Genomic DNA, 18,205 nt, shown 5'->3' with positions numbered 1-18,205 from the left:
GTCTGATGGGGAGGCAGGACACAAGAATAGGTATGGAAACATTGCCAGGACATCCAAGAAGTGGCCTCCAAGAAGCCTTGAGCTGGCATTGGGGTAGAATCTAGAGGACTAGTCTCAAGAGGCCTCCCTGGAGGAAGAGAATGTAGGGCCCAGTGTGAAAGAAGAGACAGGACCAGGCAGGGTATAGAGAAAAGGCACTCCATGGAGGAGAGAGGCTGCCCCCAAACCTTAGGTATGCGGCAGGGCAGGGCTGAGATCCTGAGGGTGGGAAGTAGTGGGCCAAGGTAAGCCACAGGACCCAGGACCATAAGCCAGACTCTCAGTGGCCCTCCCCAGGTGCCCTTCCATCTCACAGCATCTGAAACTCCACCCCACCTAGGAGACACCCTTCCACTCCACCTCCATCCTGGCCCTCGGGGGCGGGGGTAAAAGGATGTCAAGGGGGTTCCCTAGGGCATTTGGGCAGAGAAGGGGCTCCCCTGCTCAGGCCCTGGCCCTGAATAAGGAGAGGGGCTGTGGAAGGGATTCCCTTCATGGTTTCCTTCCTCTTCTTGAGGATCAAGAACTACCTGGCCGGGGTCCCCCGACCTCTCCCCAGGCTTAAGAGCAATTTAAGGGCCGAAAAAATAGAGACACAAAGACGGGTCTTCCTGGGGCTGTCTCAGGGCTCAGGGGCTGTCCAGAGACACCGCCCAGATGGGGTTACACTCTCCAGATTGCATAAGGATGAGGAGACCCCACTTGGTGTTTTCGAAGCACTTCCACGTTTGCTCTACTTAGTTGCCATGGAAGGCGTCAGGGCCCCAAGAGAAAGTGGCCAAGGTCTCCAGACCGGAAATGGCAGAGCTGGAATTAATGCGAGATTTCCCCTAAATCCAGGCCAGGGCTCTTAAAAATCCTCTGCAATTTTATTTGTTAAATTACAAAATCAAACATGCTCGTGGTAAACAAATGTGAGCGTTTCAGGCCTGCGTGATTTACGAAGTGAGAGGCCCGTAATCGCACTCCCAGAGGAGCGAGGATTTGGTCATCCTCCGACGACGGCTTCCAGATTTTTCTCCGCGTCGCCAGAGATGGGATCTGGCCCGGCGGGTCCTCCCTGAGGGGCCCGCGACCGGAACGCCGGGCCGGAAGGAACAGGGCCGAGCCCCAGCTGCGCTCCCGGGGGCGGCCGGGCTGGGCGGGGTGGGGCCGGGGAAGCCGCTACGTCACTAGCCAGTCCGGAGGGAGCCGCAGCAGGTCCAGCCAGGATTCCATTACCTCACCCGGCGGCGCAGAGCTGCGGCTCGGTCAACACCCCTGCACACCATTGGCTACGGTGCCGCCCCTCCGACCAATAGCACGGGCGCATGCAAATGAACCATTGAGCCGAAGCTTCCTTCGGGTCTGCTGCAGGCGAATAGACGTCATTGGGAGGATGGGGGAAATGAGTTAAGAGGGGTCCCGAAATCTGTAGAGTGCTGGTTTGGGGGCTCGCCATCCCAAATCTGTTCCAGCCTGTCCTGAGGAAAATGGAGTGTAATTAAGGGTGAGCACCCTTAATTCTTGAGCTGTCTTTCCAGATACACCTCGCTGCTTGGAGATTCAGTGAACCTAAGAAAAGGTGCAAAAACTATTTAGGTCAACTTGGAGAGCAGGGGAAGGAAGAAATAAGAAATAAAGAGGTACCGAAAGCTGGAACATACTTCGGAGAAACACCTAGGCCAGCCCTCTCACTGGAAACACAGCACAGCACAGAACAAAACAGACACAGCTCCTGTCCCCGGGCTGACAGCCAAGTAGGAGAGATGAATGTTCAACAATCTTGCACATAAGCAGTAAGTGCCATGGTGTTAGCCAGCGTTCTCCAGAGAAACAGAACCAATAGGATGGATATACAGAGATATAGAAAAAGATTTATTATGAGGCATTAGCTCCCATGATTATGGACGCTGAGAAGTACCCAGGATCTGCCCTCCGCAAGCTGGAGTAGTTCCAGTCCGCGTCTGAAGGTGCAAGAATCAGAGCATGGATGTCTGAAGCAGGGAAAATATGGTGTCCCACCTCAAAGAAGAGCAAATTTGCCCTTCCTCTGCCTTTTTATTCTATTCAGGTCCTTAACAGATTAAATTATGCCTGCCCATAGCGGTGAGGGCGGTCTTCTTTACTCAGTCTACTGATTCAAATACTAATCTCTTCCAGAAACAGCCTCACAAATACACCTAGAAATAACATTTTACCAGCTATTTGAGCATCCCTTAGCCCAGTCAAGTTGACACTTAAAATTAACCATCACGGTGGCTCAAGCCTGTAATCCCAGCACTTTGGGAGGCCGAGGCGGGCGGATCACTTGAGGCCGGGAGTTCCAGACCTGCCTGACCAACATGGTGAAACCCCGTCTCTACTAAAAATACAAAATTAGCTGGGCGTGGTGGCGGGCACCTGTAATCCCAGCTACTCCGGAGGCTGAGGTAGGAGAATTGCTTGAACCCAGGAGACGGAAATTGCAGTGAGCCGAAGGTTGCAGTGAGCTGAGATTGCGTCACTGCGCTCCAGCCTGGGCAACAGAGCGAGACTCCGTCTCAAAAAAAAAAAAAAAAAAATTAACCATCACAACCATAAAGAGAAAATGAAATGGAGGATGTCAGTGAGATATTTAACAGGCAGCTGTAATTTTCGCAAGGGATGGATAAGAGAAAGCTTCTCCAAGGAAGTAGCTTTTTTATTTGTTTGTTTGTTTGTTTTGAGACGGAGTCTCACTCTGTCACCCAGGCTGGAGTGCAGTAGCATGATCTCGGCTCACTGCAACCTCTGCCTCCCAGGTTCAAGCCATTCTCCTACCTCAGCCTCATGAGTAGCTGGGATTACAGGCGCATGCCACCAAACCTGGCTAATTTTTGTATTTTTAGTAGAGATGGGGTTTCACCATGTGGGCCAGGCTGGTCTCACACTCCTGACCTCATGTGATCTGCCCGCCTCGGCCTCCCAAAGTGTTGAGATTACAGGCGTGAGCCACTGTGCCTGGCGGGAAGTAGCTTTTAAACTGAGGGAAGGCTGGGCACCACTGGAGGCTCATGCCTGTAATCTCAGCACTTTGGGAGGCCGAGATGGGAGGATCATTTGAGCTCAGGAGTTTGAGACCAGCCTGGGCAACGTAAGGGAGACTTTGTTTCTACTAAAAGTAATAATAATAATTAAAAAATAGCCTGCTTGGTGTTACGGGACTATGGTCCCAGCTACTTCAGGGCGGAGGTGAGAGAATCACTTGAGCCCAGGAGTCTGAGGCTGTAGCGAGCTGTGACAGCACCACTGCACTCCAGCCTGGGCGACAGAGTGAGACCCTATCTCAAAATAAATAAACTGAGGGGAGTTTGTCGGTGGAGAGTTAGGGGAAAGGGATAAGTTGCAGGGAGAGGAAACAGTAATGAAAGAGTGCCAGCTTGTTAGAGCAGCAGAGTAAGGCAAGTGGCTGGAGGCCAGTGACTAAGGGGGACAGAGCTGGGGATGCGCGAGAGGAGCACTCAGCCCAATCCACAGGCCCTTGTGCCAGACTCTGTGCCGATGACTTTTTTCCTTTGTCTCTTCTTTCAGCAGCCATCTAAGGTGGGCACTATTTTAGTATTGAGGAAACTGAGGCTCTAAAAGGTTAAGTAGGCCAGGTGTGGTGGCTCGCGCCTGTAATCCCAGCACTTTGGGAGGCCAAGGCAGGCGGATCACATGAGGTCAGGAGTTCGAGACCAGACTGGCCAACATAATGAAACCCCGTCTCTACTAAAAATACAAAAATTAGCCCAGCATGGTGGCCTATGCCTGTAATCCCAGCTACTCAGGAGGCTGAGGCAGGAGAACCACTTGAACCTGAGAGGTGGAGGTTGCAGTTAGCGAAGATTGCACCACTACACTCCAACCTGGGCAGCAGAGCAAGACTCCGTCTCAAAAAATAATACAAAATAAAAAATAAATAAAAGGTTAAGTAAACATGTCCAGTGTCACACAGCTGAGAAGTAGCAGAGCATGGATTTGCATCCAGACCAGTGTGGCCTCAAAGTCCTTACACTGAGCTGCTATGTTATTGCTTCCCAGAGAAGTTGAGCTACCCAGAGGTGAAGGGATTTGCCCTTCATTTCATGGCTTGCTGCAGAGCTGGGACCCCCGCCTCAGAGAGTTCTGTAGATACTGTGAAGGGAGACAGGGCCTAAGGAAGGGGAGAGGGACAGGGAGGGCGGAGAAAATGCCCCTGCAGCAGCATTCCCTGAAGACCTTGCCTGTGCCCACACCCTGCCCATGTCTTTGTGCCTTTGTGTGCAAGAGTCCTTCTTGCCCAAGCTGGAACTTAGGGTTTGCTGGGGTAGAAAGATGCAGAAGTTTATAAGTGTCCACTTCTAGGGGTGTGCTGCTGGCCAGCAGCCACCGCCCTGAGGGCTGTAGGAGGGCTGGCCACTGGGGCAGCCCAGATTAGCTGGATTTTGTGTGCTGTGCCTGTTGCTAAGTAACGCTGCTCCTGCTCTCACCAGGGGAGCCAGCTCTGGTTACCGGTGACAACCCTCAAGGGAGAGTGCCTGGAGAGACATGAGGCAGGCGGGAGGGAACTGAAGGAAGCCAAGCCCTTCCCCACACAGGTTTATATGGCAGAGGGGTAGGTATTCCTTAGCTCTCTGGTGTTCTGTCTTGTGTGTGTGTGGTTTTTGTTTTTTGAGACAGGGTCTCATTCTGTTGCCCAGGCTTGAATGCAGTGATGCAACCATAGCTCATTGCAGCCTCAGCCTCCCTGGCTCAAGTGATCCTCCCACTTTTGCCTCCCAAGTAGCTGGGACTACAGGTGTATGCCACCATGCCTGGCTAATTTTTGTATGTTTTGTAGAGACGGGGTTTCACTCTGTTGCCCAGGCTGGTCTCAAACTCCTGAGCTCAAGCAATCCACCCACCTCAGCCTCCCAAAATGTTGGATTACAGGTGTGGGCCACCACACCGGCCGTCTCTGGAGTACATTAGGGGCCTGTTTCCCCTGTGCCTTGGCCATGGGCTCAGAACTGCAGGACCCACAGGCACACAAGGAGGGTGCAAAGTCATGGGCAGGGTCTGGGCACAGGCAGGGTCTTCAGGGAATGCTGCTGCAGGCGTTTGGAGGGGAATTCTGCCCCCACATCTGAGCACCAAGGAGAGAGGTGGAGTGTGTGTGCATGTATGCGTCCCTCCTGTCATTGGACAGGCAATCTGTGGTCAGGCAGATGGGGCAACTCACTCACTTTCCACTGCTCTTTTAGAAAATGTCCCACACTTCTCCAGCTGGGGGCTTCCCACCTGTCAGAAGGTCCTGGAATCAGAGTAAACAGGTCCTAGCTCCCTGGGAGTGCCTATTATGCCTATTCCACTAAAGGATTTGGGGAATACTAGAGAGATAATTTCACTTAAAGCATTAATATTTTTAGGGAGAAGTTGAATTTTGGTCTTTTTGTTTTTGTTTTTGTTTTTGTTTTTTAAAATGGAGTCTCGCTTTGTCACCCAGGCTGGAGTGCAGTGGCACCATCTTGGCTCACTGCAACCTCCGCTTCCCGGGTTCAAGTAATTCTCTGCTTCAGCCTCCCAAGTAGCTGGGATTACAAGCGCCCACCACCACGCCCAGCTAATTTTTGTATTTTTAGTAGAGACGGGGTTTCACCATCTTGGCCAGGCTGGTCTTGAACTCCTGACCTCGTAATCCACCCACCTCGGCCTCCCAAAGTGCTGGGATTACAGGCATGAGCTACCGCGCCTGGCCTGGTCTTTTTGTCTTTTAAGCAGGTATCTTTTTTGTTTTTTTGTTTTGTTTGAGACGGAGTCTTGCTCTGTCACGAGGCTGGAGTGCAGTGGCTCAATCTCAGCTCACTGCAACCTCCGCCTCCTGGGTTCAAGCAAGTCTCCTGCCTCAGCCTCCCAAGTTGCTGGGACTACAGGCATGAGCCACCACGCCCAGCTAATTTTTGTATTTTTAGTAAAGACGGGGTTTCACTATGTTGGCCAGGATGGTCTCGATCACTTGACCTCATGATCTGCCTGCATCAGCCTCCCAAAGTGCTGGGATTACAGGCGTGAGCCACTGCTCCCGGCCCCTTAAGCAGGTATCTTAAAGGCACAGAATTGGCATGGCCATAATCATTCATACTTCTCTCTTCTTTTTTTTTTTTTTTTTTTTTTTTTTTGGAGACAGGGTCTCACTTTGTCACCCAGACTGGAGTGTAGTGGCACAATCTTGGCTCACTGCAGCCTCAACCTCCTGGGCTCAAGCGATCCTCCCATCTCAAACTCCCGAGTAGCTGGGACTAAAGGCACATGCCACCACGCCCGGCTAATTTTTGTATTTTTTGTAGAGACAGGATTTCATCATGTTGCCCAGGCTGGTCTCAAACTCCTGGACTCAAGCAATCCTCCCACCTCAGCCTCTAAAAGTGCTAGAATTACAGGTGTGAGCCACCGCACCTGACCAACATAATAATAATTCTTAACATATGATCACCATATGCTGGGAGAACGCCCTCCTACACTCCTGAGCCTAGCCACGTTACTCTCAGAAGTAAGGGTGTATGTGCCTAGTCCCTGGAGGGGTGTGTGGCTCTGCCCTCTGCAGTGGGCATCAGAGTGTGTGGGTGCCCCCCTGTGCCCAGGGCCACCAGTTCAGTAACAGAGTGGGCCGTGAAACAGGAGGCATGGGGATGTGGGTGGAGTGCAGCCCTGGAATGACACCTGCAGCCCCCACGTGCACCCCGAGTTTCTCAGGCTCCTCTTCCTCTTTCCTTGCGGGCCCTTAGCACAGGACTCAGAGCAGCAGAGCTCTCAGCCCTCCCAGTGCTGACTGTCTGCAGAGATCCAAGTGCTTGCTCTGGGCAAGGCCCTGGCTCCCAGCATCCAGAGGCTGCCAGTGGGCACAGCGTGGCTGGGAGCTGCCTTAGCTGCTCAGGCTTGGGAGAGGGACCATCCTGCGGGCACTCGAACCATAAATGTCCAGACACAGAATCACATCAGAGCCATCCTCAGCAGACCAGGCAGGGCTGCCTCCCAGGGAGAGCTGGGTAACCCGAGCTGCTGGCAGGCCCTCAGGTCACTTCAGGAGCACAGGGCGGTCAGCTGATGCTCCTGGGGACCATTCATCACGTCTCCCAGCCCAGCCGGTACAGCCTCAGCTATTTCCAGGCCTGGGTATGCAGCAGCTTATGTAACGGGCTGGAAGTCAGGGCTGGGCTAAGGGGCACTTGTGGTAGGGATGGGGCTGCTCCCACCTCCCACTGTAAGGCCCACCCCTCAGTCCCTAGTCTCCCTATGGAGATTTGTGGGGGGCCCACAGCTCTGGCTGGAATCCCTGTGGACAGCCACTGTGCCTATCAACACACCTCTCACTTCCTGGCCAGAAGATGCCTGGCCATCTGCGGTCCATGGAGTTGAGGCCACCAAGCAGCCTCTTCCTCAACCCCATCAGCCCTGCCCAGCCTCTGTGCTCTCACCTTCCCCTCCCCGCTCAGAGGAAGAGTGGGTATGTCTGCTGCTGCCCTCCGAGAGAACCTGTGCACATTCCTGAAGCCCCTCCTAGCTCCTGCAGGCCTAGTTTGGTGGGTGGTTAAGCTGGGCTCAAATACACATATTCCCAGTGTGGCTTTAGGCGGGCTTTGTACATCTGCTAAGCCTCAGTTGCTTGTTTGGGAAATGGAATGATAATAACAATATCTCCCTTTTGGTGTGGCTGTGACTGTGGGGCTTTAAGAGCACATTCCAGGAGGCAGATTGCCCAGCCCTGTCTATCTATGTGGCCTTGGGCCAGTCACTTAAGCTGTCCGGGCCTCAGTTTCCTTGTGTAGAACGGGACAGCGATATGACCTACCTCCCTGAGTTGTTGTGAGGATCCAGTGAGTTTTTATGCATAAAGCACTTAAAGAGTTCCTGGCATGAGGTCAGCACCATGTAAGTGTTGGCTATAATTAGACAATGTTTGGAGATCACTTTCCTCTGCCTTGGCTCCTAATAAGCTCTTGGTGAAAGGTAGTTGTTATTTTTAACTTCTTCGTTCTCCTTCACTGTCTTAATTCCCACCTTCATTTAGCCTTGCAATTTCCTTTAAATACCTTATCTTCTCCCCTCGTTTGTTGTCAATCTGCTGCACTACCAATAAAGGCGTGCATAAATTATATTTGTCCCATGTTTACATTCATAAAACATTTCCCATGCACTCCTGTCCCAACCTCACAGCAAACGCGTGAGCGAGCAGTGCAGCTCATGTCATTGCCCTCATTTTGAGAGCCCGGGACAGGGTGTGATCTGTCCAGAAGCATCAGCTGCTCAGGGGTGTGTCCAAGCCACCAGTGAGGGTATTCCGACCTTGGGCACCAGAGCACACCGGATGATGCACCCAGGGCGTGCCAGCTCGCTGCTGCCAGGGCAGATTAGCGCAGGGGGCCCTCCTGCTTCCGGTCCCAGCTGTGGGAGCGCCCACATTATGGGAGGAGAGGCCTGTGGGCTTTTTAAATACCTCCCATCCCAGCAGGATCCCCTGCGGCCCCCAAGTGCTGTACGGTGGTGCCCTCTGCTGGTAACAGGAGGTACTGCTACCTCTTATAAGGGAGGAAGGTGGATCCCTTCACATTTACGCAAAAAGCTAGCCAAGGCCGGCTATGTGCCAGGCCCTCTTCTAGGAACCACAGAGGAAAAGAACCTCGGAAAGCCCTGGCCTTTCATGGAGGTGTCTTCTATGGGAGGGATAAAGACAAAAACATTTATAAGAGAACGGCACATAACGAGAAGTGCAATGAAGAAAAACAGAGCCGGGTGAGCTGCTAGCGAATGATAGAGGGCGCTAGCGATACGGAACGGCCAGAGACGGCTTCTGCGAGGAGGCGACAATGTAGCAGGGAACTGAGCGAAGCTAGGAAAAGAAAGGCCCCTACCCGGGGAAAGGCCATGGAAACACAGGACCGGTGGGAAGGCGCTGAGATGGGGAAAGTCTGGGTACGCCGGAAGAACAGTGAGGCCCATGTGGTTGAGGGCAGTGCCGAAAGAGGCCTGGGGCGGTGGCTCACCCCTGTAATCCCAGCAGTTTGGGAGGCCGAGGCAGGTGGATCACCTGAGGTCAGGAGTTCGAGACCAGCCTGGCCAACATGGCGAAACCCCATCTCTACTAAAAATATGACAAATTAGCCGGGCGTGGTGGCGGCCGCCTGGAATCCCAGCTACTCGGGAGACTGAGGCAGGAGAATCACTTGAACCCGGGGGACGGAGGGTGCAGTGAGCCGGGGTTGTGCCATTGCACTCCAGCCTGGGCGACAGAGAGACTCTGTCAAAAAAAAAAAAAAAAAAGCAGCAGTGAGCAAGGTCCGAGAGGCGGAGGCCTCCAGCTCCTTCCTTACCACGTGGTGCATGAAGAAGGCAGAGCTCGTGCAGTCTCAGGAAGCAAAAGGAGAGCCCTAACCAGCATGCACTGGGCTGTGTGCGGGGCCTCACCGCTGCCTGTGAAGTGGGTATTCCTGGCATTACCACCATTTTGCAAAGGAGGAAACTGAGGCTGAGGAAGGTAGAGGTTGTGTGGTTTGCTCAAGGGTGGAAATATAAAGTCACAGAGCAAGAACCTAAATCCAGGTTTGTCTGACTCTAGTTTTTTGGTTGTTTCTTTTCTTTTTGGTTTTTTGTTTTCTTTTTCTTTCTTTCTTTTCTTCTTCTTCTTTCTTTCTTGTGACAGGATCTCACTCTGTCACCCAGGCTGGAGTGCAGTGGCCAGTGGCACAATCACGGCTCACTGCAGCCTGGAACTCCAGGATTCAAGCGAGCCTCCCATCTCAGCCTCTCCAGTAGCTGGGACTACAGACACTCAGATCATTTTTAAAAATTTTTTGTAGAGACGAGGTCTTGCTATGTTGCTCAGGTTGGTCTTGAACTTCTGCTCAAGAGATCCTCCGGCCTTGGCCTCCCAAAGTGTTGGTGAGCCACCCCTCTGGCCGAATCTGGGCTTTAAAACATAAGTTAAGCACTTGGAGAGAGAGAAAAAAAGGCAGCACAGAACAGCACGTAGAGAAGGGCCACAATTGTATTAAAATACGTATATGTATATTTTATATTCAGAAAAAAGGCTGAAAGCAATCCACTGCATGTGATAATCTCTGGAGGTGACTTATGTTTTCCTTCCACTGTGGGGCTGGGGCAGGGAGAAGGATGGTCGTCACCCCCGCAGAAGGCAAAAGACTGCCCTTAGCGTTGATAACAACCATACCTCACACTCACAGGCTCCTTCGCGGTTACAAAGGGTCCTTCTTCACTGCTGAGCGTTTGCTCCTCACCACAGCCATTTCACAGGAAAGGAAGCCAAGCCTCAGAGAGGCCGCGACTCTCCCTCAGATAGCCCGTGGCACGGCTGGGGCCAGGACCGACCTCTGCACGTTCCGAGTCCTGCAGGCGCATTTCCAGGAGAGAGGAGAGCTGGCAGAGAGGTCCAGGGGGGTCCAGGAGCCGGGCCGGGGGCGAGGTGACGAGTGTGGCCGTTCCCGAGTCTGCCGGCAGAGGGCGCCGCCGCCCCGCAAGTCGGCCAGGCCACGCCCCCTACCAGGACCCGCCCCTTTGCAGCGGGGAGCCACAGCACCCTGTGAGGAGCGGCTCGGCAGGCTGGGGTTCGAGGCCATGGGGATGAGAGGACGGTGGACGGGCTGGGCCGGGGCAGGAGGAGGAGCAGCAGGGGAGGGGCTGGGCCGGGGCAGAAGGAGGAGCCGCAGGGGAGGTCACCGGCGGGCCAGGGTCTGCGTGGGTGAGGGGTTGAGAGTGCAGAGGCGCCCGTGTCTGCGGCTGGGAGCGCGAGATGGAGGCGGGGTGGGGGCGGGCTAGTGCGAGGGGAAGGTCCCGGTGTGGCGGGCGGCGGTGCGCTACGGCGCCAGGACTTCCTGAGGCGGCGGGACTAGCTGCCTCGGGAGGCGGTTACTCACTCCGGCGCTGCCACCTGCTTCCTTCCCAGATCCCAGCAAAGCATAACCCCGAGGCCCCCTCTGCGCTCCCACCCCACTCGCGGCGGCGGCACGCCCAGGAGGGAGCTCGCCTCTGCAGCTCAACCCACAGCCTCGCGGCCCCGGGGTGGGCGAGGGTGGAGAGGGAGGGCGGTGCCCGGCGGACTCCACCCGAGCCGCACCGCCAGCCCCCAACCGCCGCAGTCTAGCCCAGGCCTTGAAGGCCAGCCTGCAGCCTCTTGAGCAGCGCGTGGGGCTCCAACCCCCAGCACCTCCACCTGTCCCATCTCTCCAAGCTGAGCCCCAACTCTGGTCTAGACGGGAACCCGTGAAAAGCAGACTCCGGCAGGGATCCCCTGCCGGCTGTGCGCCCCAGCCCCGCCTCCTCTCCATTCCGCTCGCCCCTGAGCACTGGCGATACCCAGCCAGACGACAGGGGCTGGACAGTGTGTTGAGCCCCACCCCCATCTCCTCCCTCGCCGCCACCCATACCTACCTCCAACCAAGGCGAGGACATAGATGTGTCAGCTAGGATCCCTGCCCTCTAACAGCTCCCAGTCTGTAGGGAGACGGCCACCATCCATACCAAAGCTTACACCAGGAAGCAGAAAGTGGTTCCGGGCCAGTGGGAGGCACAGGTCCTTAGCTCCCCAAGAAGACACAGCCTCAGGGGGCCGAGTTCGGCCAGTATTTAGAGTCCCAAGGATCTGTGTGGGAGGGAGCTCAGAGATCTCCAGAATTATCTTCAGTCAACATCCTTTCAATAAAGACTCACTAAGCACCTAGGGTGCTTTAAAAATACCAACGCCCCAGCCCACCCTAGAACTCCTGGATCAGAATCTCAAGGGGGCCAGGAGTGGTGGCTCACACCTGTAATCCCAGCACTTTGGAAGGCCGAGTTAGGAGAATTGCTTGAGCCCAGGAGTTTGAGACCAGCCTGGCCAACATGGCGAAACCTCTCTCTACAAAAAATACAAAAATTAGCCTGGGGTGGTGGCCTACGCCTGCAGTCCCAGCTACTCCAAACGTTGAGGATCGCTTAAACCCAGGAGATTGAGGCTGCGGTGAGCTGTGATTATACCACTGCATCCAGGTTGGACGACAGAGCAAGACCCTGTTTCCTGTTTCTTTTTTTTTCTTTCTTTCTTTCTTTTTCTTTTTCTTTTTCTTTTTTTGAGACAGAGTCTCGCTCTGTTGCCCAGGCTGGAGTGCAGTGTCCCAATCTCTGCTCGCTGCAACCTCCACCTCCCAGCTTCAAGCGATTCTCCTGTCTCAGCATCCCCAGTAGCTGGGTTTACAGGCATGTGCCACCACGCCCAGCTAATTTTTATATTTTTAGTAGAGACTGGGTTTCACTGTGTTGTCCAGTCTGGTCTTGAACTCCTGACCTCAAGTGATCTACCAACCTCCCAAAGTGCTGGGATTACAGGCGTGAGCCACCGCACCCAGCTGACCCTGTTTCAAAAACCAAAAAAAAAAAAAAAAACAGAAAAGAATTGCAAGGGGGAGGGGAAGGGTAAAAAGAATGGCAAGAGTAGGAGTATGGCCCTATCTGCTGTTAAATGTCCCCCACCCTACTGACTGCTGTAGCTGCCAGCCACTGGTCTTGCCTTATTTGCCCAGAGACCACACTCCTCAGAGAGAGTGGCTCCAGCCAAGCCCTCAATTAGAGTGAGATTTGGGGGGCTCCAGAAGAAGATGCTATGTATGCTGGGACCTGGGTGGGCTGTCACTCTGTGGGTTGCTGAGTGGACCAGATCAACTGTGAGTCACTAAAGGCTAAGTGACTCTGTAGGGGAGCAGCTGGGAAAGAGACCCAGAGGCAGTATTTGCATTTTTACTTTTTGCATAAATTTATATGTTCTCCCCACAAAGGCCAACTCCAAGATGGATCACTGAAGCTTAGGAGGTGTCCCTGAAAGCAAAAATTCATATGTCTTAGGCAACCTGGTGGCCTCCTGCTCCTGGGAGGTCCCCATATTGATTGCATGCAAGACACATCTCTAAAAATAAAAATAAATTATAAATAAATAATAAAAACACTCTTGCATCTTGCTGTTGAAAAGTATGTTTCCTCTCCACTATCAACCCCAGTCCATGAGCTTTCATACCACACAGGGTTCTGTGCAGAGAAGGTCTGTTGGTTGGAGTCATTTAGTCATTTAGTTAGATGTTCTGAACTCAACTGTTCATTCATTCATTCAGACGTACCTGCCTTCGATCAGTGCTGGCATGAGATGGGGTTCACTCCCTTGGGAGCCCACAATCTGGGTGGTGGAGTGAGGAGAGGCCCTGGGACCAGAAGCAGTGGGAGGGTGTCTGAGCACTTCAGATAAATGATTGTGGGGTTCAGGGGAGGCTCCACTTTGTACAAGCGTGCAGCAGGCTGAGGAAGGGCTGAAGAGGTGGGCTCTAAGGAGGGAGGGAGGCTGCTCCCAATGGTTGGCTGATGGGAGAGCCCTGCTCTGTGCCCCTCTCCACCTGGTATGGTCCCGGCTCCCCACCAGGGGTCAGCACACTGCTGCACTCTGGCTGTTTTACTCTCTTGAGGAACTCTCTTGGGTTTCCGTGGCCCCTCCAGAGCCCTCAGCTTCCTTTCTGTCTCACTTCTCTGAGCCCATCACTCCCCACTTACGGTCATTTCATCCACCTGTCGGTGCAGGACCAGGCAGCCTCCCAGCCAGCCAGCCTGACGTCTCTCCTGAGCTGGGGAATCCCACAGCCTCCCTCACTTCCCAGCCTCATGAGCTTGGGCTGGGCAGCAGAAGGGGCCTCCTGCTGTCCTTCCTCTTCTCCTGCTGCCATTCAGCGCAAGGTCTCTGGTTTGGTTTCCAGGGGAAATGGGAGGGTCCAGAGGTTCACTCCTTCTAATAAGTTTTCCCACATGTGTTAGCAGAGCTCTTCTCCAAGCCCACCTCCCCTGTTTTGTGGACCCCACCAAGTCTCCAGAGCCCCCCTATGCTCCCCTTAGATGGGAATGCTCTCCCTCCCTCCAGCACAGCACCTGCATGCATGGAACCGGGAACTCTCTGGGCTGGCCCCTCCTCCTACTGCTCCCTGGCAAACCTTGGACCTGCTCTTTCGGGTCCTACCTCTCATATACCTCATATACCCACCATGCCAATACCACTTTTTCCACAGGCGAGGCCCCTAGCCTGAGAAGTTCAGCTCATTACTCACCATCTCTTCCACCCTGTCCTCACACCCCTTCCTCCAGGAAGACTTCCTTCTCACCACCCTAAGCTATAGAGACAAACAGGCATGAGAGCATCCTGGCCTTGCCAGGCGCCAGCTATGCTGCCTTAACCTAATTCTCAGTCTCTTTATCTGTCAAATAGAGAGCTTTCAGATGTACTGTGAGGTCTCAGTAAGGTAATGGATGTGGAAGTGTTAGCCCAGCACATAGGGACACAGAAGTCACCTATCCTTTTCTTTTTTTTATTTTTTGAGACGGAGTCTCGCTCTGTTGCCCAGGCTGGAGTGCAGTGGTGCTATCTCGGCTCACTGCAATCTCCACCTCCCAGGTTCACGCAATTCTCCTGCCTCAGCCTCCCAAATAGCTGGGATTACAGGCATCCATCACCACGCCTGGCTAATTTTTGTATTTTTAGAAGAAACGGGGTTTCGCCATGTTGGCCAGGTTGTTCTTGAACTCTTGACCTCAGGTGATCCACCTGCCTCGGCCTTCCAAAGTGCTGGGATTACAGGCATGAACCACCACGCCTGGCCACCTATTCTTTTCTTGTGGTGCAGCTGCCACCCCCACTGCCCACCCCCGAGCCTGATGATGGGAACCTGCCCTTGCTAGGCGCACTGGCTGCTTCTGCAGGGCTCTGTGGGGACCTCAGACCAGAACCCTATCAGCAGGGCCATGTCCCTCCCCTGACCATGCATGAAGCCTGGAGTGGAGGCCTCTGTCCTTCCCTGGAATTGTTGGGAGCCCCTTCTGCCCTAGCATGGGGGAGGGGCTCCCACAGAGTTCCCTGAGGCTTTGAGAGGAGCAGAAGGCTGGTGGGAGGCAAAGGAGGGGTGGCAGGGCAGGGGAAATACCGACCACACAATATTCTGAGTCCCTGCTCCTTTTCCCATCCACCCCCACCCCCTCTGCCAAACACGATCCCTGGGTTAATTTTTAGCATCGCAGCTCGCACATTAGTCACTCCCTGTCACCCACCTACACGGCAGGAGGCTGCTGTGCTGGTGCCGTCATCCCATCAGCTGAGAGGTGGGATCTAGCCCCGCCCTGGGCACCCCTCACCCTCCCCTATGAACTCACGGCTGGCCAGGAGTCCCCATCAGCCTGGGTGAGGGGGCACCGACATCACTCCTGGGAATAGCTACATGGCAGGGGGTGGGGACAGACTGGTGGCCAAGGGACTTGGACTCTCTACTCGGAGGAGAAATCTAGGGAGGCCCCTGCAGCCTTCCACCCCCTGTAAGGTGCCAGGCTATGCCCAGGCAGTTGGTTTCCTGGCAGCCTTGTATCTGGGAACAAAGGTGTGAGGGGGCCCCTCCCCTAGACCTGAGCCCCTGGGAGCCAATATTTGTCATCGTCACAGAGCAGCTGTTAAAACAGGGAGCTTGGGGAATCTCCATTTTCTTAATCAAATGTCCTCCCTTCCTGGGACTAGGGAGGACAGGGTGGCCAGGTGCAGGTGCCCTGGCTGGGGCCGCCACCCAGCCCCAAAGGGATTTTCAGAGAAGGGCCTACAGATGCCAGCTACAGATGGAGCAGAAGAGGGGCTGTCTCACCCAGCCCCTGGGGCTCAGAGGTGGGGAGGTGATGGTTACCCCTAGGCAGGGTTGGCCCCAAGGAGGCATTCACTCATCAGCATGAGTTAATAGAGCCCCTCCTGTGTGCCAGGCTCTGTTAGACCCTGGAGGTGCAACTTCAAACAAGGCTGGGTTCCTGCCCTCACAAAGGCAAGACAGAAACAAAAGAAGTCAGTGTGATTCCCAATTGGGAGAAAGTGCTATGAAGTAAAAAAGAATAGACAGGCACGGTGGCTCATGCCTGTAATCCTAGCACTTTGGGAGGCCAAGGCGGGTGGATCACCTGAGGTCAGGAGTTCGAGACCAGACTGGCCAACATGGCAAAACCCTGTTTCTACTAAAAATACAAAACTTAGCTGGGCGTGGTGGGCGCCTGTAATCCCAGCTACTCAGGAGGCTGAGGCAGGGGAATTGCTTGAACCCAGGAGGCAGAGGTTGCACTCCAGCCTGGGTGACAAGAGTGAAACTCTGTCTCAAAAATCAAACAAACAAACTAACAAACCCAGAAGACTCAAGATAAAGAATAATAGGGTCGGCAGGGCGCGGTGGCTCACACCTGTAATCCCAGCACTTTGGGAGGCTGAGGCGGGCAGATCATGAGGTCAGGAGATCGAGACCATCCTGGCTAACACAGTGAAACCCCGTCTCTACTAAAAATACAAAAAAATTAGCTGGGCCTAGTGGCGGGCGCCTGTAGTCCCAGCTACTCGGGAGACTGAGGCAGGAGAATGGCATGAACCTGGGAGGCGGAGCTTGTAGTGAGCCGAGATTGTGCCACTGCACTCCAGCCTGGGCAACAGAGCAAGACTCTGTCTCAAAAAAATAAATAAATAATAAATAATGGGGTCAGCGAACTTGTTCCTATTTGATAAGGCAAACCTCTCTGAGGAGGTGATGTTTCAGCTGAGGTGTGAGGATAGAGAAATCATTCTTGCAAAGAAGAGTGTTCCGGGCAGAGAAGACAGCATGGGTGAAGGCCAGAGGCAGGAGAGAGCTTGACATATTTGAGGAATAGGAGCAGAAGGGATAGTGTGCTTAGATGTAACAAGTGACATAGAAGGAGAAACAATTTGAGATCAGAGGGAGAGGCAGGGACCAGATTCTAGAGGGATTCATGGAGGGCATCAGGATATAGTTGCAGAGGTTGGGTACTGCACAAAAGGCTCCCAGTTACCAAACTGTTGGGCCTATGTGGCTGCTGTCAGCCTGGAGAAAGGGAAGCTGTGTTGTTATTTGTCTCCCCGGAGGGACGTGTTATGGATAGGCCATGGTAAAGAGTTTGGACCTTATTCTTTTATTCCAGGGAAAGGCATAATGGGTTTAAGCAGAGGAGGGTTGTGATCCAGTTTCCTTTTTGAAAAGATCACGCTGACTGCTGTGTGCAGAAGGGATGCTCAAGGAGCAAAAGCAGAAACAGAAATGGGACCCACTCAAAAAGCAAGAACCATGGTGCAGGACAGGTAGGGAGGGTCTGCTCAGACCTCTCTCAAAGCCACCCTTTGCATGCTGGTTACTCCCCGGGAGGAGCACTGGAGCAGGGGCCTCAAGTCCCAGGCCCAGCTCTGACACTAGCTTGCTGTATGACCCGACAGGTCACTTCAAAGAGGTCGTGACTACCACTTGGAGATGCTTGAGCACACACCATGTTGGCACACACTGTATTGAGGGTCTACCATGTGCTAGCATCAGGCAAGAAAAAAGCAGTGAAGACAGACAAGGCTCCTGAGCCCTGTGCAAGAAGCGTGCATCCTCCCGGGTGGGGCGGGCAGGCAAAGATAAACCCATAAAAGTCAAGACAGTCTCGGATGGCGATGCACAGTCTGATGGGAATAAAACAGGGCTGTCACAGGGGAGGGCATGACTGTATTTACCACTGGGTGGGAAGGTCTTCGGGAGGCAGGGCTGAGGACTGAAGGAGCCACCTGTGGGAGGGGTAAGAGCACAGACCCTGATAGAAGGGGTCTGAAGTGTGCCAGGTACAGCCAGCAGCGCAGCCAGAGCGGGGAGTAAGAAGCAGAGGCCGGCAGGGGTCAGACTCTCATCCTGGGAGGCCGGGCGCGGTGGCTCACGCATGTAATCTCAGCATTTTGGGAGGCCAAGGCAGGCAGATCACCTGAGGTCAGGAGTTCGAGACCAGCCTGGCCAACATGGTGAAACCCCGTCTCTACTAAAAATACAACAATTAGCTGGGTGTGGTGGCGCCTGCCTGTAACCTCAGCTACTCGGGAGGCTGAGGCGGGAGAATCACTTGAATCCAGGAGACAGAGGTTACAATGAACTGAGATCGGGCCACTGCACTCCAGCCTGGGCAACAGAGGGAGACTCCATCTCAAAAAAGAAAAATCTCATCCTGGGGTGGGAAACCGCTGAAGACTGCTAGAACAACAGAGTGAGCCGTGATTGGGCCCCTCACAGGCCAGGTGGTAATGCCTCAGGTCCCTACAGATCTGGCTTGTGCCCCTCAAGGGAGACCTCAGAAGCTGGGAAGAAAGGCATGCCAAGCACAC

At 54.0% G+C, this 18,205-nt stretch overlaps 1 protein-coding gene and 1 long non-coding RNA gene across 3 annotated transcripts in view, besides 5 other annotated features; both read right to left on the bottom strand.

Annotated features, from left to right (window-relative positions):
* Positions 1-11,529, bottom strand: part of NR4A1 (nuclear receptor subfamily 4 group A member 1) — a 36,672-nt gene extending 25,143 nt beyond the window's left edge. The window contains exon 1 of the mRNA NM_001202233.2: positions 11,422-11,529. The gene's annotated coding sequence lies outside the window, so the exon portion shown is untranslated. The remainder of the gene's footprint in view (positions 1-11,421) is intronic.
* Positions 888-17,818, bottom strand: LOC124902934 (uncharacterized). Of its 2 annotated transcripts, none has more exons than XR_007063311.1 (2): positions 17,570-17,818; positions 888-1,593 (listed from the first exon to the last, which is right to left on the bottom strand). It is a non-coding gene; the product is annotated as an uncharacterized LOC124902934 (long non-coding RNA). The 2 variants fall into 2 exon arrangements; XR_007063310.1 differs by lacking the exon at positions 17,570-17,818 and adding an exon at positions 1,686-1,769.
* Positions 1,035-1,364: a silencer, noted in NCBI's record as "silent region_4480". NCBI's record gives its function as "represses an Ori minimal core promoter by ATAC-STARR-seq in GM12878 lymphoblastoid cells {active_cell/tissue: GM12878}" and the evidence as "EXISTENCE:reporter gene assay evidence [ECO:0000049][PMID:35858748]".
* Positions 7,799-8,736: an enhancer, noted in NCBI's record as "H3K4me1 hESC enhancer chr12:52419409-52420346 (GRCh37/hg19 assembly coordinates)". NCBI's record gives its function as "activates a minimal SCP1, AML or CMV promoter by ChIP-STARR-seq in primed H9 embryonic stem cells {active_cell/tissue: H9 hESC(primed)}" and the evidence as "EXISTENCE:reporter gene assay evidence [ECO:0000049][PMID:30033119]".
* Positions 8,737-9,674: an enhancer, noted in NCBI's record as "H3K4me1 hESC enhancer chr12:52418471-52419408 (GRCh37/hg19 assembly coordinates)". NCBI's record gives its function as "activates a minimal SCP1, AML or CMV promoter by ChIP-STARR-seq in primed H9 embryonic stem cells {active_cell/tissue: H9 hESC(primed)}" and the evidence as "EXISTENCE:reporter gene assay evidence [ECO:0000049][PMID:30033119]".
* Positions 9,282-9,576: an enhancer, noted in NCBI's record as "tiled region #2055; K562 Activating DNase unmatched - State 13:Ctcf, and HepG2 Activating DNase matched - State 1:Tss". NCBI's record gives its function as "activates a minimal TATA promoter and a strong SV40 promoter by Sharpr-MPRA in K562 cells, with weaker activity in HepG2 cells {active_cell/tissue: K562 | HepG2}" and the evidence as "EXISTENCE:reporter gene assay evidence [ECO:0000049][PMID:27701403]".
* Positions 10,381-10,840: a silencer, noted in NCBI's record as "silent region_4479". NCBI's record gives its function as "represses an Ori minimal core promoter by ATAC-STARR-seq in GM12878 lymphoblastoid cells {active_cell/tissue: GM12878}" and the evidence as "EXISTENCE:reporter gene assay evidence [ECO:0000049][PMID:35858748]".

The sequence above is a fragment of the Homo sapiens genome, chromosome 12, assembly GCF_000001405.40.
Source record: "Homo sapiens chromosome 12, GRCh38.p14 Primary Assembly".
NCBI lineage: Eukaryota > Metazoa > Chordata > Mammalia > Primates > Hominidae > Homo > Homo sapiens.
Note: the sequence above shows the minus strand (reverse complement) of the source record. Positions and strands in the feature narration are given on the sequence as shown.